This window comes from Homo sapiens, chromosome 15 (genome assembly GCF_000001405.40).
Source record: "Homo sapiens chromosome 15, GRCh38.p14 Primary Assembly".
In the NCBI taxonomy this organism is placed as follows: domain Eukaryota; kingdom Metazoa; phylum Chordata; class Mammalia; order Primates; family Hominidae; genus Homo; species Homo sapiens.
The window spans coordinates 62764530-62787625 of record NC_000015.10 but is presented as its reverse complement, the minus strand read 5'-3'; the positions used below and the strand labels follow the sequence as shown (position 1 = coordinate 62787625).

At 45.0% G+C, this 23096-nt stretch overlaps 1 protein-coding gene across 2 annotated transcripts in view, besides 2 other annotated features; it reads right to left on the bottom strand.

The window, feature by feature from the left end:
* The window catches only part of TLN2 (talin 2), a 454082-nt gene that overhangs the window by 57006 nt on the left and 373980 nt on the right, over nucleotides 1-23096 (bottom strand). For both annotated transcript variants that reach the window (NM_015059.3, NM_001394547.1), the window contains 5 exons: nucleotides 21204-21305; nucleotides 16492-16662; nucleotides 10716-10862; nucleotides 6385-6486; nucleotides 3736-3855 (listed from right to left, as the gene is read on the bottom strand). In NM_015059.3, coding sequence (NP_055874.2) covers nucleotides 3736-3855; nucleotides 6385-6486; nucleotides 10716-10862; nucleotides 16492-16662; nucleotides 21204-21305 — 642 coding nt within the window. The remainder of the gene's footprint in view (nucleotides 1-3735; nucleotides 3856-6384; nucleotides 6487-10715; nucleotides 10863-16491; nucleotides 16663-21203; nucleotides 21306-23096) is intronic.
* Nucleotides 4592-5520: an enhancer, noted in NCBI's record as "H3K4me1 hESC enhancer chr15:63074305-63075233 (GRCh37/hg19 assembly coordinates)". NCBI's record gives its function as "activates a minimal SCP1, AML or CMV promoter by ChIP-STARR-seq in naive and primed H9 embryonic stem cells {active_cell/tissue: H9 hESC(naive and primed)}" and the evidence as "EXISTENCE:reporter gene assay evidence [ECO:0000049][PMID:30033119]".
* Nucleotides 16831-17344: an enhancer, noted in NCBI's record as "H3K27ac-H3K4me1 hESC enhancer chr15:63062481-63062994 (GRCh37/hg19 assembly coordinates)". NCBI's record gives its function as "activates a minimal SCP1, AML or CMV promoter by ChIP-STARR-seq in primed H9 embryonic stem cells {active_cell/tissue: H9 hESC(primed)}" and the evidence as "EXISTENCE:reporter gene assay evidence [ECO:0000049][PMID:30033119]".

Sequence of the window (23096 nt, the reverse complement as noted above, 5' to 3'; positions counted from 1 at the left end):
ACAGGGTGATCCAACGAACTACCAGTGTTTATTAGAAAGGAATGTAGCTCAAAGACATAAAATGTGGGGTTTTAAATTGGCAACTTTAGAAAAGTGTTACTTGAGACTCAAGAAAAACCCTCAATTCTTTTTTTGTCGAAATAAAAGTAAAATGGAGAAAATCATCTCCTGGTTTTGTGCCTTGGGGGAAGTTAAAAGCCTGGTCTTTATGAAGTTTTGGATCTGATTCCAGTTGGAGGGGGTCTAAGGAATCCTGATCGCCTTTCCTCACTGCCTCAAACACAACAAAACACACTGGTTTTTCCCAAGCCTTAAAAAACAACTACATCTGAAACCAGGTCAAATATAATTTGCTTGGGACAGCTTGTGAAAGTTGAAAAGGCAAGAATGGAACTTATCTGACAAAGATAGAAAACATGGAAGAAAAAAGTGGCTGGGCATGGTGGCTCACATCTGTAATCCCAGCACTTGGGAGGCTGAGGCAGGTGGATGGCTTGAGTCCAGGAGGTTGAGACCAGCCTGGGCAACATAGTGAGACCTTGTCAATAGAAAAATTAACCAGGCATGGTGGCGCACACCTGCAGTCCCAGCTACTTGGGAGGCTGAGGTGGGAGGATTGCTTAAGACTGGGACAGAGCTCAAGGCTGTAGTAAGCTGTGATTGCACTACTGTACTCCAGCCTGGGCAACAGAGTGAGACCCCGGCTCAAAATAATAATAATGGTAATAGAATTATTATTAGGTTGGCATAAAAGTAATTGCGGTTTTTGCCACTAAAAGTAATGGCAAAAACTGCATTTACTTTTGCACCAACCTAATAAAAGAGTGGTTCCAATGGCACTGGGGCATCATTTTCCCACCTCCAGCACGTGTGTCTTGGGGTGGAAAATTTTAGAGAATTCTAAAGCAGACATCCATTTCATCTGGGGGAAAGGGCTGTGGTTCTCACAAATCATCTTAACAAATGATTGCGCCAGCTTTTAAGGCATCCAGTATTTCAAGTGGTTACTGCACATTTTCCTCAGAGACAAAGCTGTTGTCGCTAAATCTTTTCCTCAGGATTTACATTTAGAAGTTGTGGCTCATAGGATCTCGAGTTCTTTCTTCTTCTTTTTTTAAGGGGAAAATAATCTTAAATTGCAAAGCTGCTGGAGGCTTTTAACTTTTCCAAAGAAAGAAGTTTTCAAAGTGATGTTAACAAAGGCTTGAATTTTCCATGAAAAATAAGCAGATAAAGCTCCTGCTTGATGTTCCAGGGCAGAGCTATGACTTTTCCTGTAATTGTCACATTCTGGAAAAGACCAAAATGCTGACCTTGCATAGCGGACTGCGGGACTGCAGCGAAGGGAGCAGCTCCTTATTTCCCCTGGATATAAATATTTTCACATGTTGTGATAGGGGGCCCTCTTGGGTAAACAAATAATTCCACGATCTTGGAATAAAAAACTACATTGCTTCAGGGATCTCCTAACCTTCTCAGTTTTCCCCAAATATCTGTCTGGCAAATGTACACAAAGAATTTTCCTTAGCAAGCCACTGGAAATTTTATATTCTCTCTGCCCCTTTTCACTCCAGGTCACACTGCTCTCGTGTCTGGAATGTAAAATACATCTCAAGATGTAACAGTGAAAAGGAAAACCTTAATGAAAACGTCAGCTGCTGCAAATGCAGGGCCAATAACCAAAGTAACCTGTTGTTGTGCTTTTAGCAACACATTCTCTTTCCTTGCTGTTTTGGCATTATTTTATACTTTGGTTCAATGGTCTCTGTCGTAATAAAAAAAAAATCTGCTTGTTTCACACGTTGGGTGGGTAGCTTACAAGAACTCATGTGGAAAGGGCTATACAGACAGTTCAGGGAGACAGTAGTTAAACTACCTAAGGCAGATGGTGGTAGATTCCATTTTTAAAGGTTTCTGTGGACAGATATCCAAACCTCCCTTGCCAAACACTTCTTCCCCTTTTTTTTTTTTTTTTGAGATGGAGTCTCATTCTGTTGCCTAGGCTAAAGGGCAGTGCATAGTCTTGGCTCACTGCAACCTCCACCTCCCGGGTTCAAGCAATTCTCCTGGCTCAACCTTCTAAGTAGCTGGGATTACAGGCGCACACCATCACGCCCAGTATTTTTGTAGACAAGGGGGTACGCCATGTTGGCCAGGCTGGGTCTTGAACTCCTAACCTCAAGTGATCTGTCCACCTCGGCCTCCCAAAGTGCTTATAGGCGTGAGCCATCACGCCCAGCCCACTTTTCCTTTTGTCCAAGCAAACTTTTCCTTACTGTAACAGAAGTTCCCTTACATTTGTTTATGGAGTTCAAAATTATAGGTTAGTCAAATGAATTATAAATCTAGATGATCTTACTAAAACAGGGAGTCTATTTAAAAAAAAAATGATAGGCCTGTGTAAAGAATCAACAGAATCTTAATGTGGGTATCTGATAACTCTCTTTTCTTGGTAGTGACTTCACACTCATTGCAAATAGAATTATTCATGCTACAGCCTAGTCAATTATTCTAATATCTCAAAATGCAGGCACTGTTAGAGACTTAAGTAATCCCATGCTAGATATTTATGTATGCAAGTACATACATATATGGTACTCCTATTTACATGCATTGTTACCACACACATTAGAAAGTGATTTGTTTTGGGACTTCATTTCTGGAATATCTCTCGGAGTCTCTGTAAAAACATACTTAGATCTGACTCCCAGGAGAAATAGCAGCACTGAGTAACTTGGGGACAGTGACTGTCACTATAAGGAGAAGAGAAGACCAATTACAACCTTCTGCCTTGACAACTCAGTTCATTTAGGAACGTCTCGAACATGGTTTGCGCTCAATAAACAGCTTGCTGAATTTCACAGAATATAATTACTTTTATCTTTTAAGTGTCCCTGTAATCCACTCCATTAATCTTCATTTTAAATTGGGCTTCCTTTCTCTAAGAAGCCATGTGGTTCCCCCAAGCCCTGGACTCCTTCTATGTGTTCACACTGATATAGATGCTACAAAGCTCCTTGGAGCCACACATGACCTGTGTCCTTCCCAATGGACCACCCCATTAGAAGTATGAGAGATGGCAGCTCTTAGAAAGTGGCCTTTGGGGCCCAACTTTGGCTACCGTTAGACTCTTACGGGTACAGGCATTCTAAAGCCAAGTCTACACTGGCCACTAAGGAAAGCTGGTCTAGGAAAGGCAGGGAAGTAATAAAAGGAGTCCACAGGAGGTATGTCTGGGCTAATTCTTAGCCACCCAGAATATTCAGGCAAGACTTTGTTTCATGAAAGTAGCTCTTTCGAGGGAGAGGGATAGCTAATTTTCATACTTGAATCTTTCAACACTTCTGTGAACCTATGGAAAACAAAAATAATTGCGGGGGATGTGCTAACTGGAGTAGGAAGTGATAAGATGGCAGTCCCAAGCTTGGGCATGCTAAAAGAGACAGGTGACAGGGCTAGGGACAGGGGACCTGATAGAACACTGTATACAAAGTCCTTCTGTCTGAAAGCCCATGCCCCAGTTCTTGGCCAGTCTGCCCCATAAGGGGCAGTGAGACTTGAGTACAGCCTGGGGCTACCTGGTCTGGACCTGTGCTGTGCAGTGGTGGGGAAATAAACTGGGCTCTGGTTACTGGGCTGGGGTCTTCCAGAGTGGAGCTAAGCTATGAAGAAATACCCAGGAGTGGGCACCAGTGTGTGTGTGCATCTTAAAATAGGGGTCTTAAGGTGGCAGACCTCCTCTGGTTCCGCCGTGGCTGCTGCCATCTGGCCCTGGAAAGCCAGGTGCCCATAGTCACTGGTCATTTGTGAAGCCAGTCCTCCCAACTCCTCCGGGTTAGTAACCGACTTAGTCATCTGGAAAAAGAAAACAAGCAAGACACACACACACACACACACACACACAGAGAGAAACGCATGAGAACCATGTGTTAATATCACTGGAAGCCAAAGGGTTTCATTCACTTTTAAGCTCCTGAGGGGGTGAAGGCCAGGCCTTGCATTTGGGGCTAGATGCTGGAGAGGGCAATTCAAGCCAAGCCCATGCTGCATTGCACACAAAAGGCCAGAGCCCTCGCAGGGCCCCGCTCAGGCCACAGATTCTGGCCGGGCCCAGTGGGCACATGCTCAGCGTTCGGGCTGTGCAGCTTGGAGCCAGTGCCCAGGGCCCACCCTCTGGCAGGTGAGTGTGCCAGCCCCTCGCCAGCGCAGCCCTGGGGGGTCACCAGAGGAATTCCCCCTAGAAACCCCCAGGAGGCACAAGCCCTATGCGATTTTCACCCCTGGGCCAAGGCTTCTGTCGGGGGCTGATCTGGTCTCTGGGTGCCCTGAAGCAGGTCCCACCCAGGTGAGAGAGGGCATGAGGACAGGGCTGTTAAGAAAACCATGAATGACAAGTGCTGGATAAGTCAGTGTTTTAGAGGAAAACACTCATAGAGGATACAGCTTTGCAGTAAATTTGTGCCAAAGAATGACAAGGTTTTAGCCACAAATTTAGTTAAGAGTAGTGTGTAGCCCACATGGTCAAGTTCTGCCTTTATTATGAAGATACTCAGGATTTTTCTCTGTTTCATTGACTGATGCATCTCAATTATCTAAGGCAGCTGGCATGCTAGTTTCTAGTGTTTCCTCTTCCTCTGGACAAAAATACCTCTAAATTCTCACAAAAGCAGTTTTAATCTGCCACCCAGACGGGTGTCACTGTCCCTCATCAAGGGGCTCCCCTCCTGCTCCACCTCCTCTTGCTCTGGATAACAATACTGTCTCTTTCTTTGTGGCCTTTTAAGACCTTGATTTTAAACAGCCTTTTAAAATGTCTTTTGAATGACTCTCCATCCATCAAGGCAGGACAGGAATGTCCACCCTTTCTAAGGCATGTGTACAAGGACACGTCCCAGGCTTCAGGCTGAGATGTGGCCGCCAAGGAACGCACACTGAGCTGCACGAGAGTGAGTGTTGCCACGTGCTGCTCCACTGCGACCTGCCAACAGGTGCACTGGGAGTCTGGGCATCCTGACGGGGTGAGAAGGGCCTCTTTCACACAAAGAGCCAGGCCAGTTATCTCAGGAGTGGCCATGCAGCCTGAGGCTCAGCTCCTTAAGCTCATGGACACCCAGGGTCAAGCCAAGGCAGCTCAGGACCTGGCTCTGGAGACATTCCAGAAACACCATGAGGCTGCTCAAACATGACTGCTGCTGCACTGTGCTTCCTGCTCAACAGGAATCTGTGCTGAAAGTCTGCTGGCTCGGACTAGGATCCGTCCTCCATGCTCCCCTGAGAAGGACAAGACTGGGCTCAGCTCCAGCTTTTCACAAAACACTGAGATGGGTGTACCATTCCCCAGCCCGAATTCTTTTAAACAAGCCTGGCACAATCACAGAGTTTCCATGAATGAATGGCAGCAGCCAGGGATGACTTTGTGGTCCAAGCTCAACCCCTAGTGGACACATGATTACATGACAAAACCACTCAGAGGGGACCTGGGCACAGCAACCATGTGGTGGCTCATTCTGGTCACTTCAGCGAGGAAGGCCCATTGATTTCTCAACCCAGGCTTATGTGGCAAGTATCAAAGAGGCATCTTTCAAACTTTTATCTTATGGCATCTGAGCCTTTAAAAGTTGGGAGAAACTTTTTCTATGGACTCCTATCAATTCTTTGAAGACAACATTTGTCATCTTTCGTATAACTGCTTAACATATCAGATAGCATTCACTATCTCTCAATGCCATTTATATCTAAGAATCTATATAATACAGTTCTAGTTGCATTACATTTTAGAAAAACAAACAAACAAACAAAACAACAAAAACCAAACCAAACCAAAACATTACCTCCAAAAGTTGTATGCCTTCTACTGTCGGAATTTTTTTTTTCTTATTACATAACCATACTGTTTCATTTTGCCTGAAAGACTGGCAATACCTTATTTTCCAAGTATTATAACTTGATTTCATCAGATAATCTCATCTCTATTTTATCCCCAAATATCTTCTCTTGTACTGTTATTTTAATCTACTAAAAACACCTCAAGTCCTTCGTGAGGTGAATAAGATTCTCCCCCTTTCTCCTTAACTACAAATTCCTTGCTTTCCCCGTCTTTTCATTTTCTCTCCTTCCTTTGCTCCTCTGTCCTCATGCCCAAGTCTCAGCCATCTTTAATTCCCTCTTGCAGCTTTTTCATGAGAAAAGAACTGCAGCAGACTGGGGCTACTGGACACAGGCAGCCAGAAAGACCACAGATAAAGGACAGAAGCTGGAGCCCCTGAGGGACTAGAGAGTGGTCTGGGCTCTCTCTCTGACACAGATCTGGGATTTGCAGGCTCAGCGGCGGCAGTGGATAAAAAGGCAAACAACAGTGGGGAGGGCAGCTCTCTTCCCTCTTACCATTTCCTGAGCTGTCACCGCAATGGCTTTGGAGTATTTAACCACAGTCGTCTGATAGTCGACAAATGTTCCCTTTGGTTCTGGAGGAGTGCCTTCATCCAGCTACAGAGGAGAGGAAAAGAATCCAAAGGTCATAAGAAGCCTGCTGAAGTGTAGACTGTATTTACGAGAATTAGGAACTTTGAAAAACAGAGAGGGCCTCAGAGATTCTTTCGCCCAGTGTCAACTCAATTACCCAACTTGTGCAATAAGGACTTCAACAGAAGGGCACATAAGGCATTCAGGGTACATGGCAAGGAGAGGCTCCCAGCCTTGCCTGAGAGGAGTGGGAGGCCTTCCAGAGGAGTGATGTTTCCGCCAAGTCTTACCAGGCGAAGAGTCTGCCACATGTAAAAGGTGGGAAAGGCATCCCAAGAAAAGGGAACAGAATTCACGTACATGGAGGCGGGAGCCAGCCTGACACTTCTAGGGAAGCGCAAAGTGCCAGAAGATGAGGTGGGAAAGGAGGCAGACTCTCCATCAGGAAGCACTTCCTGAGGAATGGTCGAGTCCATGGCTATCCACGGAACCGTTCTTTATGAGCACAATCGGGGAATAGAAGGAATTAGAAGCACTAGGAATAAATTGTTGCTCACCTGACTATAAATGCAATAGGAACTGAGAGAAGGGCAAGATCACTGTGGGGTGGAAGAACTGAGACAATGGGACTATGTCCCTTGAAGGCTTGGGGACATATTGGTGTAGGAGATTTGTATTCAAAATGTGTTTCCAAGGCTTGTGAATGAACCTCGGGCTGCTTACTTAAACTCTGATCTCTAGTCCTTCAGTGGTAACTTCCAGGCATCACATGGTTACAGTAAAAATCAACACTACACCTGGTCAAGAACTATATACAGGAAGAGGAGAGAATGACCATAATGAAGATGCTGATGATAAAGATGATAATGCCAATGATGAAGAAACAGGCAACCCATCTTCACCACCACCATCCTCACCATCACCACTGGTTGCTGAATGGTATTCCAGGCGAAGAGACAAAGTGAACAGAAATTAATACAGGCAGAGTGAGTCTAGTGAGGTCATCCTGACCTGAACAGGAGGGGGCTGTTGACAGCAGTGGGAATGAGGCTGCATCTGTTTTATGGAAAACCTTGAAATCATGACGACAACAGTGGGATCTGGGGTAAGCAATGACGTATTTGAGATTTCCCTGGCAGCTCTGTGCCATAAAGTTCAGAGTCAGAGATGAGATTGGGGCCAAGTGGTCAATTAGGAAAATGTTAGCTGGTATCTTCAGTGACAGCTATATGTCATGAGCAGGCATGTACTGCACTGTGAGTGAAAGGAAGGCATCACTGTGGCCTATGCGTGATGTGGCTGCATAGCCCAGCATATAATTTTCACCAAACTATTAACACAAACTCCACACTAGACTTTTTTAGCTTTCCCTATTAGGCAGATAGATGCTATATCCCCATCACGGCACGGGGGCCCTGCTAGTCAAAGGAGACTGAATTGCATACTCATTCACTTGCTGTAAACTGACTGAACATCTTCTAAGCCTCAGGCCACATGCTAGGAGCTTGCATGTGAGATGTGACATCACTACCCACATGCCAGGATGCTGGAGCTGAAGGGCAGCTCAGAGTTCTTGGCCAGTGGCCACCAGCCAAAGAACCTTTAACTAGTCTGAGGACAATGGGAAAAGAAAGAACAAAGTAGTGACTAGGATTTCAATTTCATTTATTTGAAAGAACTTCCCTTTACTCTGAGAGTACAGCCTTCCTCCTTTTGTGGGTGCTAGCATGACCTTTCTTTTATAAAACAGCCGTGATGTAGATGGCACAGTTTTTGTTTGTTTTTGTTTAATTTTCTTACTTGGCCAAAAACAAAACGAAAACAAAAACAAAGAAAAGATACCACATCACAAAATCCCACAGGATCCTACCAACCTCACTGAATGAGGAAATCAACGTCCCGAGAGCTTGAATTCCTGTCCAAGGTCACCCGGAAAGCTGATTACTTCATACTCACTTGTGAGTCTCCAAACCTCCTAGTGCTGAGATGACGAGAGAGAATCTCAAAGAGAAGCTCCACAGTGAAAGCACCCAAAGTGTCAGGAGTCACATCCAAGTTAGAATTAACTCTGGCTACACTCAGGTTTTTCTATAATTCACTGGCTTTGAGAATTTCAGACAGTGAGTCTAATAGTATCTCAGAGTTTTAACCAAATTAATGAAATTCTGAGAGACTATGCCAGCTTTCTAACGCTTGCTGCACAGGGACCCAAAGGACCTGAAACGTCACTTAATTTGAAGTCCCCAGCAACATGCTGAGCAAAGGGAGAATGGGAATGAGGAAGAGGTGTTGTGTGGTGCCCTGGATGTCAGGCCAGGGTAGATAAGAGTTTAGGGGCAACATTGAAACCCCAATTATATACTTTGCAGAACTGAGGGGGGAAGAACAGCTCCTGGCCTCTGTGGCTTGTGTTGGCTGGCAGTTCCTAATTACTGCTATCAAGTAACACCTGACTTATTTCCAGCCCATCCAAAAGAATCAAATGTGTCTCTGGCTGAGACAGCATAGGCTATACCACTAATGGCAGGTGGTGCAGGGCCTGCTCTCTCTGTCCACAGCCCATCACAGTGCATAAGGCACAGGGCTATCAAAGAAAGACTTTGGATCTGACGTCCATCTTCCTAGGATTTATGGAATCCTTCCCTATCATTTGAGTGGTACTGAAAAATATCTTCTCCCAAGAAGAAAAAGATTATCATTTGAATTTCTAATTTGCACCAAGAAACCTTGGGCTCCATTATTTAACATCCTTAGGTAGATACACGGTTTATCTTCAAAGCTCTGGTGTTCTGATGTCCTGAAAACCAAACAAATCTACTGAGACTTATCCAAGGGCCCGCAGAAGAGGGAAATTTCACTCATTTTCTGCCAAAATGTCCACATTTGCAGCATGAGAAGCCCACAGCAGAAACTGATGGATGATTTGACAAAGTAGAGCCTGCGGCCTCTAAAGGGAGACGCAGCATTCCACCCTGGGCTTGTTATGTTTGTTCTCAGGCTGACAATGACTGCATAATGCCTAAGGATAATTATTCTAATTATAGTTACAGCATATCATTTCTTCATGGAGATATGAACAACCAATCTTCTCTAAATTAGCAATTAAAGACTGCTTATTATCCTGAAAAACCTTATTAATGTATTCACAATCTGACAATGGACATTTCAAAACATAGACGATGTCTAAAATTCTTGGCATGCTATCACAGGATGGCAATTAGATGCTGATGAACAAGCATTCTTTCTAATGAATGTCAAACTTACATGACTAATGAAGGATTCTTTGGGGGAAAGAACAGGAGATATGGAGTTGAAACTGTCTCCAGTCATGTCACCCTAATGATCTGACTCATTTGATGGGTCACTAAATGAGAAAATGATACTCATGTTCTCTTACATGTCTGTAGCCTACAAGAGTTTACTATGGGCTTTTGCATATATACGATTTCAGTGGTTTCTGTGCCTGGCTAGATATCAGAACCACAAGGAGCAATTAAAAAGAGTGTGTTAAAATGTAACCCAATTGAGTGGGTTGGGGGTGGAGCCTTGGAATCTACATTCTTAAAGCTCCACATGATTCCAAAATAGCCATTCCAAAAACTAGCACTTGGGAATCACTTTTTTTTTTTTTTTGAGAGTTTCGCTCGTTGCCCAGGCTAGAGTGCAATGGCATGATCTCAGCTCACCGCAACCTCTGCCTCCTGGGTTCAAGCGATTCTCCTGCCTCAGCCTCCTGAGTAGCTGGGATTATGGGCATGCGCAACCATGCCCGGCTAATTTTGTATTTTTAGTAGAAACAGGGTTTTACCATGTTGGTCAGGCTGGTCTCGAACTCCCGACCTCAGGTGATCCGCCCGCCTTGGCCTCCCAAAGTGCTGGGATTACAGGTGTGAGCCACCGCGCCCGGCCGGGCGGGAATCACTTTTATTTCATTTTGGCAATTGTTCCCCCACAACAAACCCTATGAAGTAGATAATCAATTTCCATCTTACAATTGAGGAAACCTATGATATCTTTTCCATGTCCATCTTTTTCTTTCATGTAAAATTAGAAGGCACAACTGGCTTACAAAAGTAATGCATTAATAATAAAGAATAATATGTTGGACATGTGACTGGATATCTGTACATTAACTAGAACCTTCAAGAAAAGAAGAGGCTTGTTGCTATGAGCCTTGACAGCTTAGAGAAAAGCACGCGAGGCCCATGGGTGAGGGAGATAAGGGAGTAGAGAGCCCTAGAGCCCATGCCCACCTTGCTCATGGCTTCTGCAATGGCGTCCACCATGCCCCCAACCAGCCCCACTTCACTGGCAGCTTCGTTCAGCGTCACCATGATGTCATCCACGGCTTCCTTCATCAACTGGGCGGCCTCTGTGATGGCGTCATGGGTGTGTTGTGCCTGAGAAGGGAATTGTGAAACATTTCCTTAAGCAGAAGAGAGCGGTGCTCAGTCTTCTAAGAATAACCTTCAAAAGTAGAATATAAAACCATACCCCCACAATGGAGCACAGCGATCTATTCTATTTCTTCCCTTTCTTTATGTTTGGCCATTTGTTTGCAAAGTAAATAAAAATCAGAAAGACAAATAGAAAAAGATCTCTTTTTACAATCAGGGAAAAATAAAACTGCAATATCAAAATCTTATGACATGACCAATTTTATATGTTACTATGTTCAGGACTGTAGAAAAGAGAATGCCACAGGTTCCTAAATATACAAGTTGATACATTTACAAAATAATATAATGAAAAAATGTGCTTAAAATAAATGTACGTCTCTTCAAAGTTGCCCAACACACTATAGTTCCCCGTCTAAAGATAAGACTGGATTACAGAAATGTAGGTACCTCTATGGGAAATATATTTGTAGAGTGCCTAATAGGCTTTGAAACTATGTCACAAATTATATGCCATGAGGTTGGAGAAATGCATGGAGCCCTGCCGGTAAAGCCCTGAGTACCCATGCATTCCTTAGACCATATTAGGAAGTAGGTGTTTCACACCTGTGTCAAGCAGAGTAGGGGCTAAGTGAATGAATGAATGAAAACAATGAAACAATGGCAGTCCTGGGCTCCCTGAAAGATACCTCAAGTAGCAGCAAGATGCAGGGGGAACAGCCAAGGTGACAGACAAACCTGGGTTCTAGTTCTGGCTCCACTGCTGGCTAACTAGGTAAGTGGCCCTGGGCTTGGAGTCCTCCTAGGTAGGATGGGGAAAACTATAACAACACTATGCAGTGTGGGATGATATGGCTGCAGGCGCCTTGCCATTTATAAGGGCAGTCTAGGAGGAAATCATGCCCTCGCTCTGCAAAATTTGACCTGATGTCAGGTTTCAGGGTCGGAATTGCATTACATCCAGGCACTGGGTCTACCCATGCCGTGGCTACGGCCGCCCTGAGCCACCTTGTTGGGGAAGTAGACCCTTTCAAAAGGCCAAGATACTGCATCTTTACTTTGGTAAATGAGAAGGTAAAGAAGCCAGTGGAAAGCAGTAAACGAGAACTCGTTGGGTGATTTTCTAAATACAAGAGAATTCCAAGAGGCTATGTGAGCCACAGGAACTGGCCATGTCTGAATTGAAAAGCCATAGGAAGCAAGAAAAGTTATTCAAATATGACATCTGATGAGATGGGAAATATGTTGATCATGGATGGTTATCCTTGAGGCAACGGTGTCAGGATACACAGAACTCTCTTTGGGATGAGTGAAGTAAAGTGGTAATTTGGGTTGATAGCTGATTTCACGGCACAGACATGGTAAAACACAAAATGTGCAGATTGCTTTATTTTGATGATAGAAGTGTGAAAGGTGATACCTCTTGGACCTACTCTCCAGAAAGAGCATCTCATACATTTTTATTCGTACAGAAGGTGAAAGGGAGGGTGCATATTTCTCTACATCTCATTTAGAATGAGATGACTGTTACAGACACAAAAATGCCAGCAATTCAGGCCGAGGCAGGTGGATTACGAGGTCAGGAGATCGAGACCATCCTGGCTAACACAGTGAAACCCCGTCTCTACTAAAAATACAAAAAATGAGCCAGGTGTGGTGGCGGGCGCCTGTAGTCCCAGCTACTTGGGAGGCTGAGGCAGGAGAATGGCGTGAACCCGGGAGGTGGAGCTTGCAGTGAGCTGAGATCGCCCCACTGCACTCCAGCCTGGGCAACAGAGCGAGACTCCATCTCAAAAAAAAAAAAAAAAAAAAAGCCAGCAATTCTACACATTCATATGAAAATTAAGTATACCTTCTGGGGGAGACAGGAGCACCGCTTGCCAAGGATCTGTACTCTCATGCAGGCTCAGGAAGGTTCAGAAGCAAACTTTGGGTGCAGCAGTAAATCACAAAACTTTTTGAACTCCTTCAACAATTTAAAGGACACTTGTCCTGTGCCAGGTCACTGAAATCTATAAAAGCATATCCTTGCTCTTGGCTATCCCAGAAATGAATTACCTCCCCATCCACTCATGCTGATGAATTCTCTAGAAGGCCTGCTCTCCTTCACTTCTCATGGTTAAGTTTTTCACAGATTCTTAGAGGGTCAGCTCAACGTCTACCTCTTCTATGAAGCCTCCTCCAATTACTCCAGGCCTCACCCAGGGCCTTTTCTTCTGAACACCAAAGGCAAGTCTCATCTTTATCAGACAGCCTAATCTCAAATCACACATACCTGCTAGTAGAGCTCAATAGTTTCAGATACCCAAAGACACAGTTGGATCTCAATTAAGGCCTGTTTAAACCACCGACAGCAATCTCATAAGTGGCATCGGTGGGCCCAACAATGAGGTGGTTATTTTAGATTCCGGAGGGGTTCCTTGTTACTGTTCCTCATGGCACCACACAAGAGAAAAACCAGATTCCATTCTTTTTCAGACACATGTCTGAAGTCCGCTTCCAAAGGAGCCTTGTTTCTTTATTACAGCACTTCAAATACAAAGCCCAGGATAGCAGGCACAGACATCACAGGAGTATGGAAAAATGGGAGAAGGCCACAGGGGAGCAGATTTCAACTTTGGTAGAGGGAGAAAAACAAGGAATAATTAGAACTGTCCAACAGTGGAGAGGGCTGCGTTTCTGCTGGAGTGTTGTGGGCAGAATCTGTGGTGGCCCATCAAGGATGCCGCAGAAGGGAATTGGGCGGGGTGGGGATGAGTGGAGAAGGGAGCTCTGCGGGGTAGAGAATACCGCAGAAGAGCTCAATGGAGTGAGGGAGAGGCTACACTGCAAACGCCTCGGTAAGCAGGTAATTCATTAACACCAGGTTCTGGGCTGCCGCTTTTTTAAAAAACATATCTACTATGTCAGGCACATTATTTCATTTAGTCTCTACCAGTACCTTAGGGAGGTATTCATAATTACCTTCATTGTTTAGGTGCAGAAACAAAGAAATGAAGTAATTTACTCGTGAGAGGCAGAGGTGGGATTTGAATCCAATTATGTTTGACCCCAAAGCTTGTGCTATTTTTCACCGTATCAAAGCTACCCATAACTATTTGACAAACCTTTATTTCTTCTGCAAACAGGGATATATAACACCTAGCACACAGCAAATAAAACCTAGTAAATATGTGTCCAAAGAATAACACTCAAGGTGATTAAGTCTTGGCATCAGGCTTCTAAGGAAAGGGTTGAAAAAAGCAGACTTGTAGTGTCCCAGGCGCACTTTGGGCTAAGCCTGTCAGGGTTTGCAGAAAGAGAGCAGGTTGAATGAGACCAGTGAGGGACAGAAGTGATCACCTGCCTTGCCTTCACTCATCGTGTTTTACTTCATCATCTAATGCTTTACTGAAAACTACTTCACACTGGTAGAAAATTATGCTAGACACCACTTTCAAGCAGAGGCTGTTACCAGAAAGCTTACAGTGCTGACTGTGTGTGCTCTATGGCTGGGAACACAGGAAACTAAGTCCAAGCTGGGTGTTGTGGCTTGCACCTGTAATCCCAGGTACTTGGGAGGCTGAAGGGGGAGGACTGCTTGAGGCCAGAAGTTTGTGATGAGCCTGGGCAACATGGCGAGACCCCATCTCTGATGGCTGGGAGCACAGACAGTCAGCACTGTAAGCTTTCTGGTAACAGACTCTGCTTTACCAGAAAGCAGAAGTTGAGGTTGTGAGGTTCCTTGAGAGAAAATAAAATTCCATCAGGAACTCTGAACTTACAGTCCAAGCAGATGTGTTAATGTCTTAAAAATCCAGAAAGGTCAGGTGTGGTGGCTCACGCCTGTAATCCCAGCACTTTGGGAGGCTGAGGAGGATGGATCACCTGAGGTCAGGAGTTCAAGACCAGCCTGGACAACATGGTGAAACCCCATCTCTACTAAAAATACAAAAAATTAGCTGGGTGTGGTGGCAGGCACCTGTAATACCAGCTACCCGGGAGGCTGAGGCAGGAGAATCACTTGAACCCGGGACGCGGAGGTTGCAGTGAGCCGAGATCGCGCCATTGCACTCCAGGCTGGGCAACAAGAGCAAAACTCTGTCTCAAAAAAAAAAAATAAATAAATAAATCCAGAAAACTCCTCCTTTGAATTATTCTCTTAGTACTGAAACCATCAGGTAGGAGTGGGGACATGTGGCAGTCAATAGCCTGGAGAAAAGACAACCCAGAAGTGAGTCAGAGGGTAAGTTCTGCCTCCTCCAGTTTGGGGGAGGCACCCCTTTGAGGGTGCAAAGGGGGCTGGCACGACTGCAGGGCACCCTATCGTTTCTCCATCGCAGTCAAAAGAGTATTCTTTTTTTTCTCACTCCATTCCACCACTTCAGCAACTCAACTTATTTTTCCAAAAGACTCTGAACAACTTGAGGGCAGTGGCTGGCGCTTAATATTTCAGCATCCCCAGAATGAGGCTCTTAATAACTGCCAAGTACATGAATGAAAAAATTGAACATAGAAAATGTTAAGTCCAAGCTGGGTGCTGTGGTTTGCACCTATAATTCCAGGTACTTGGGAGGCTAAATGGGGAGGATTGCTCGAGGCCGGGAGTTTGAGATGAGCCTGGGCAACATAGTGAGACCCCCCACCTCTAATTAACTTATTAAGTAAATAAGTAAATAAATGAGCAAGCAGGCTAGCCAGATATGGTGGCATGTGCTTGTGGCCCCAGCTACTTGGGAGGCTGAGGCAGGAAGAAGGCACGAGGCCACGAATTCATAACCAGCCTGGGCAATACAGTAAGACATGATCTCAAAAAAAGAAAAGAAAAGGAAAGTCCATGACATTATTCACACTGCTACCAGTTTAAATGTTTCTAAAATATGGACTGGTTGTGCCATTCCCCTGCTTAAAAACTGCCAATGGCTCCCCACTACTTACAATAAAGACTGAAGTCCGCAATGTGGAAGAGACCTGTCACCCTGCAGCCCAGTCCATCCTCCTGCCTGGTGGTCCCCCAGCTCTACATGCTCCAGATAGATCAGACCACTCACTATTCCTGAAGAAATCATGACCCTTTAATAAATCTACCTATGCCTTTGCATATGCTATTCTCTCTTCTTCAGTTCCCAAGTTCAGGGTAAAATGTGGTGCAAAGTCACCTATGACAGGCTGTCGTCATACTTGGCCACTTAAAGCAGCTGGGTGACACAACAGGCTGAAGAAATGTTCCCTCTTGCAAACTGGTATGGGAGATTTTCATATTAAACTGCAGTCTCTTAAGTGTTAGGAATCAAAATGACATTTACTGGAGCACAATAGAACATTCCTCTGTGCAAGCTGGGTGTCAGTGCTGAGCAGGGACCCAGCAAGCATTACAGTTTTCATTCCTGTAATCATCGCACCATACATTTTTCTTCCCCAAGGACACTTGTCTACACATTCTGTCAAGAAAAAAATAACTTTTATGTATATTTCTTCATTTCCTCCCTAAGAACCTTGGGAAGGCCAATAGATTATTTCTGATCTCAGAGTGGGAGCTCAAATGCCACCAGCAAGAACTGGAAGTGTTTTCTCCTGGAAGGACACATTACAGCAGGAATGCATGATGGCTTCTTAGTGGTCCTAAGTGAGTCCCCGATATCCTGGACCATACCTTGGGGTTTCCGCCACCTTCTTTGGCTGCATACAACATCTGCAAGGCAGACTCTGCGAGAGTCTTGGTCTGGTCCAGCACCGTCATCTGCTGCTGATGATCAAGAATCTTGGAGGCCACACCAACTGCGGCTAAGATCAAGGGCTCAAAATAGCTTGCCAGTTGTGTCACCTTTCAAAAAAAAAAAAAAAAGCCAGAGATGTATCATGTAAATACACGTGTCTCCTTCAGGGGCTCCACAGTCAGGCGCGGGAGGGGAACAGGACTGGGCTGACTCACAGGGAGAGGCAGATCTGCTGCAATTTACTGCTGAAAGTGCTTGCTAATTAATGGACTCTTTCTTGGTTTTTACTTTCTCCAGGGAGTTCTTCATCTCTCTAAATATGGCAGAGGTGCTAAGAAACCCATTCCAAGATCCAGAGTTAGATATGAGAATTGAATTCAATTTTACAAACTGTCAATTTCTATAAATTAACAACTTTTAAAAGAACTAAAGACATCTTACAAACTCAGGAGGAAGGAGGAGTGGAAAAGGGTAAGGTAGCAGGGGAGCAGAAAAAAGCAGGAGATGAAAGAAACCTTCAAAAGCTTTGTAGGAAGCCAATCCCAACTGCCTTTTGCCCAGAGCATTTTGACCAAGCCTTGATTTGGAAAAACAGCACAAATGATTTCACATCAGCCTAGATGCTCTGTTTATGATTCGCCCAACTTGGGAGAACAAAAAAAGCTTATCCCGACAGGAACCACTGCCTCCGCACAGGCCTCTTTCCAGGAGGGCACTGCCATGCATATCCATCCACGCTCACTAAAGCTCGCCTACCAGCTGGGCGCTGTGGGCCATGTGTTGCAAACATCTAGCGGGCGCACCCCCTATGCCAGGCTCTCTGCTGAAAGTTTAACTTCCATTTCCTCACTGAGCCTCCACAACTTTAAGAGGCAGATACACATGAAGATACCGAGGCTTTGAGGGGTTGAGACGCATGCTCCATCTCATGCAGCTAAGAGGTGGAGACAGCGGCATCCCACCCCACAGCCCTGGCTCTCAGCTGCCACAGTCTGTGGTCTCTTTCACTTTCATTGGGATGCCAGTCCTGCTGCTGTGGGAGCACCGCACTTTTAGAAGTTTATCATTTGGTGTTTGGATGACCCTCTACCTGGCATCAGAATATGAGATCTTAACATTTTGCTATATTCACTTCAGACACCAGAATCTATCCCCTCTCAGAATCTATCCTCACTCAGATAAAATACAATGGCATGAATCACACTTTTCTGTTCAATGCCTCATTCTGTGCGGTAATGACTAATGGCTAAATTACACCCTTTAAGAGAACTTAAGATCAAACCTTTAGCCAGCACCTCCCTTAACGCTTCTTCCCATCACATGTTAGAAGAATGAGTGTTGTGGGGATGTGGACAGGAAGACCACTCACATGAGCAGTCACTGGGCCAGCAGGAGAGGGTGGAGGATGATGGGGTGGGGGTGGCTAGGGCAAGGTGAGGGAACGTGTCCAAAAAATAAAACTTAATTAACGCTAATAGTGAGACATGATTATTGGCCAACAATAAAACTTATTTTTACATTGTTATTTCCTCTATGGTTATCTTACAGAGAGGTTTCAAACCTGGTGAATAGGGCTGTTCCCGGCCCTTAGGGAGCCTTTGAATGAATTTTAAAGGGGTCCTTTGGGCAGACATGAGCGACGCCAGGGCAGAGCATGGGCTGAATTTTCGTCCCTACTTCCCACTTCAGCCAAATGCCTTTGTGGAGGGCACAGCCTATACAACCACAGGCAGCAGCTCCACACACTTGCATTTGATTTCATCCTCATCCCCAGGAAGGGCACTGGTGTCACCACCAAAGGGAACGGAGCACTGAAGGGTCATCGGGACAGAGGGCTTAGGGTGGTCCTTTATGTCCTAAAGGAGGAGTCAAAATGTTTAATGCATTAGAATCTTATATGTTTTCTAGGTTAATTTTATTATTTTCAAAGTATGTTTCATCAATGCAACTGTCAAATGTCAGCGGTTGCTGTGTGCTGAGAATAATTAAATGCAAAACTAAATGGGAGCCCGGCTCCCCCATGGAGGTAGCATGGCTGGGCCATGAAGGACTTCAGCTCTGGCTTCAGAATCACTGGATTTGAATCTTCCCTGCCAATTCCTTACTGAGAAATATTTAGCTAATTGTTCCAATTGCTCCACTTCAGTTTCCTTATCTGTAAAATGGGGATTAATAATAGCACTGAGAGTTCATCAGGACTGGTAGGAGGATTAGTGTACATGAAAGCCCTTCACCATGCTAACCGCCAAATAGGAAGTACTCAGTAAAGGCTAGGTGCTCACATATTACAGGCAAAGCTTTTTGAAGGCATGTGCTTTTCTCTGTATTTAGGGAGCTTAGCAAGTACTTTAACACCATTAGTTCTTGAGACATGACAGAACAGGAAACATCCTTCCTTGGGTTAGCACATGCATTAAAATAACACAGAATTTTGAGTATTTGGTACATAACGTTCATTCCTAGGTCTAGGGACACGGTGGACTGAATGGTGGCCCCTCAAAAGATATGTCCATATTCAAACACCTGCAACCTGGGAATGTGATCTCATGTGGAAAAAGGGTGTTTGCAGGTGCATTTAAAGACCTTGAAATAAGAATGTCCTGAGTTACCGGGACGGGCTCTAAATCCAATAACAAGTGTCCATCTAAGAGACAGAAGAGACACCGAAGAGCAGGTGACAATGTGATTACGAAAGCAGGGATCAGCGCGACAGTCAAGGAGTGCCAGGAGCCATAGGAAGATATAAGCAGCAAAGAACAGATTCTCTAGGGAATCCACTCTACAGTCTCTGTAGACTGCACAGCCCTGCCACCACCTGATTTTAGACCTTGGATGAGAGAATAAATTTCTGTTGTTTTAAGCCACAGAACTTCATGAACACAGTTGGGGTCTGAGAACTGGCATTTCTTATCACTCCCAGGTGCTGCTGAAGCTGCTGATCTGGGGCCCCACACGAGCACTGCAATGAAGCCTTGGGGAAAATGTGGGTGTGAACTCCCAGTCCACGGCTCTTCTGGATAGAGGGCGCACCGACTGCCTCTGTCCAAAATTCTCTTTTAGAAGGTAAGAGATGGATTAGCCCAAGGGTCAAGAGTAAATTTGTAAGTCAAGTGACATAAATATATTATGTTTCTTTTGATGCTAACCACTAACATAGGAATTAATCTTGTATACTAATGAAGTATCCGCAGAGACATGGGTATTGTCCTCCAAAGACATCCAGAAATATTCTATTACAAAAGTTCTGGAATCAAAAGTAACTGCTGAAAAAATGTCCAGCTTCTCTCCTAAACTCAGTTTCCCTTATGGGCACATAGGCAGTGGCCCCAGTGTCCAGACCATTCTCCTACCCCTGCAAACCTCTTCAGACAGACGGACAAGCCCTTTTCTAATTGCCGTATAAAGAAACTCAGCTAAGAAATGAAATATGCCAGCCGGGCGCAGTGGCTCACGCCTGTAATCCCAGAACTTTGGGAGGCCGAGGCAGGTGGGTCACCTGAGGTTGGGAGTTTGAGACCAGCCTGACCAACACGGAGAAACCCCGTCTCTACTAATACAAAAATTAGCCGGGCATGGTGGTGCATGCCTATAATCCCAGCTACTCGGGAGGCTGAGGCAGGAGAATTGACTGAACCCGGGAGGCGGAGGTTGTGGTAAGCTGAGATCACACCACTGCACTCCAGCCTGGGCAACAAGAGCAAAGCTCTGTCTGAAAAAAAAAACAAAGAAAAGAAAAGAAAAGAAAAGAAAAAGAAATGAAATATGCCACACTTAAAAAGGCAGAAAGACACTGGCCTTTGAGATTTCAAATCTTAAAAATCCCTCCTTGGAACCACTGGGAAGGTGAGTAGGCCCTTAAGCTATTCTGTAATTTAAAAAAGCAAGAATATTGATTTTCTAAAATCGATACCTGCCAAGAAGATTTTGGCTACTGTATTTCTTCCTATGTACATCTATACTGATAGCTGCACTGATAAAATGCTAGGAAACCCAAGGTGGTTAAAAATCCAATTTCTGGCCTCTCCTTATTGAGGCACAGGCTGCATAACAAGCCAACCGTCCTTGAAGAATTTGCAAAATGAACCCCAACCAGGCAAGATATCATCTGGGTCTGAACACAATGTGGGTATGAATCCCCAGCTGAACGGCTCCCCTGGAGTGGACACCTAGGGAGGGTTTGGTCATCCAGAGAGGTCTGCTTTGCCTCATTATGTCTAAGAGTAGACACTATGTTAGAAACCACAAAAGAATAATGTACCCTTAAACATACCAGAATGGGGCTGGCCGGCCAGCCAGCCAAAGGTGGCAGACTCCAGGCTAGGAGTGTCTGCTTCAGTCTCTGGTTTCTTTCAGCAAAGGTCGATTGCAACGGATGACTGTAAATGCCAAATTACATCTCTGGCCACAACCAGAAAAACTGCACTGAAGTTTTCTTCTGAACTTAGGTAAAAATAGATCCTGAACTGATAATTTCTGGAGAGGATGCCAGAGAGAGGTTCAGTGTTATTTTCTGCAGCTTAAACGAGCATTGGACTCAGGCACAATACTTGCACCACAGGCTTTTGGGAATGATAACAGTAAAGTCAATAAAACCCTCTCTCCTGTGATAACACGCACACCCTCGCAGGATCCCCTCGGTGTGCATTACCTTATGTCCCAGCTGAGCTGCTTCTCCCCGAGCCGCTGTGGCGATGGGATCGATAAGGTGTCCGATTTCCTGGACCACCGAAGTCAGCTGCTCCTGCAGGGCCTGATAAGGAGAGAAGTGTCAAGTTCATCCCATAACAGCTCCCCACAGAGCTGCACTGATTCAAAAAGGCCCCTCTGAAAAATGACAGAGGCCACACAAAGCAGACATTAGAATGCCTGCGTGTGTGCCATCAAGCCACTGCACCCTGCCCTGACCTTCTCAGTGATGACTCCTCCCGAGAAAGAGAGAAGAAGCAGGCATGAGAGATGCTTTTGCAACTGGCTTCTTGCTCCTGTCAACCCTGACAACTGATGCTACTGGTATCTTTACTTTAGGTTCCTTGATGGAATTAGTAGACATGCGGAACAGTCATGGCTTTCCAAGAAGGAACGACAACTTCTTCCAAATGCAGGCAGATAATGGAGGGGTCTGAGGGAACATTCCAGGTCACTGTATTCTCAGAACTAATAACCCCTCAAGGAGGGAGAGTGACATAAAAATGAGATTAGCTCCTTGAAAGCAGGACTACTTCCCAAACAGTGCACTGTGAAAATGCTCAGCTTAGATCTCAGTCCACTGTGTTTGGTAGTGTGCATGCAAATATTAAACACGGTGCCCTCAAGACCTTTCTTCTCATGTTTGAGAGATGGTTTAATCTCTTCACCCCTAAAGAATTGAATCATGCTGTAAAGAGACAGAGAAAGATATCTAGATGATTCTGAGAGTGTGGGGGATGGGGGATTCAAAGGTGGAGATTCTTAGCCAGTGGCAGGAAAGATCAGATCCCTCTGTAGGACTATTCATACGAGCTTCACTGATAGATACAGGATTAATGCATCAGTGCACTGGGCGTTTTACGTCTGCACACACCAGCATGGAATTGAGTGAACTCTGCCAAAGTAGCGATGTCCTGCTCATCAGAAATGAGACTCTAGCCTTCACTACTTTCCCACAGAACAATGCTGCCTGTGGGCCGGGAGGGATGCGGGCAGAGTGTCCTCAAAAAGAGGAGCAGACTAACATGCAAACTTGAAAACAAAACCCTGGAAAAAGAAAAAAAAAAAGGAAAAAGGGAAACAGAGACAGATGGGAGCAGGCAGAGAGAAACTTCCAAGACGGCCAAGGGTTTTATTTAGCTAATTACTTATTATCTTCATATTCATAATGTGATTATAGTCAAGAACACAAGAATATTCCAACAGTGCTGTCTTATTACAGATGGTTTGTTAAATTAAATAGGGTGTATGATCAGGGAGCACATGCAATTAAAGGGGAAGGGTTCTCTTCCTAGTGAGGGAGTTAAAACAGAAGATGTACTGGGTGAGGGAGGATATGGTGAAAGGATGGGGGGATGAGGGGGGCTTCTGGGGTGCTGGTCATCTTTGCTACTTTTTTTTTTTTTTTTTTTTAAGATGGAGTCTCGCTCTGTTGTCCCAGGCTTAAGGGCGGCAGTGTGATCTCGGCTCACTCACTGCACTCTCCGCCTCCCACATTCAAGCAATTCTCCTGCCTCAGCCTCCTGGGTGGCTGGGATTACAGGCGCCCGCCACCATGCTCGGCTAATTTTTGTATTTTTGGTAGAGATGGGATTTCACCATGTTGGCCAGGCTGGTCTGGAACTCCTGATCTCAAGTGATCCATCCGCCTCAGCCTCCCAAAGTGCTAGGATTCTGTAATCCTAGCACTGGATTGAGCCACAGCGCCTGGCCTCAACTTTGTTTCTTGATCTGGCTGCCGGTTGAAAGGCCTGTTCAGTTGGTGATAATTTATCAAGTGGTACCCTTATCTGCATGCATATACATACGGACTTTAATAACAGATCCAAAAGAATAATTCTGGCATCCCACACAG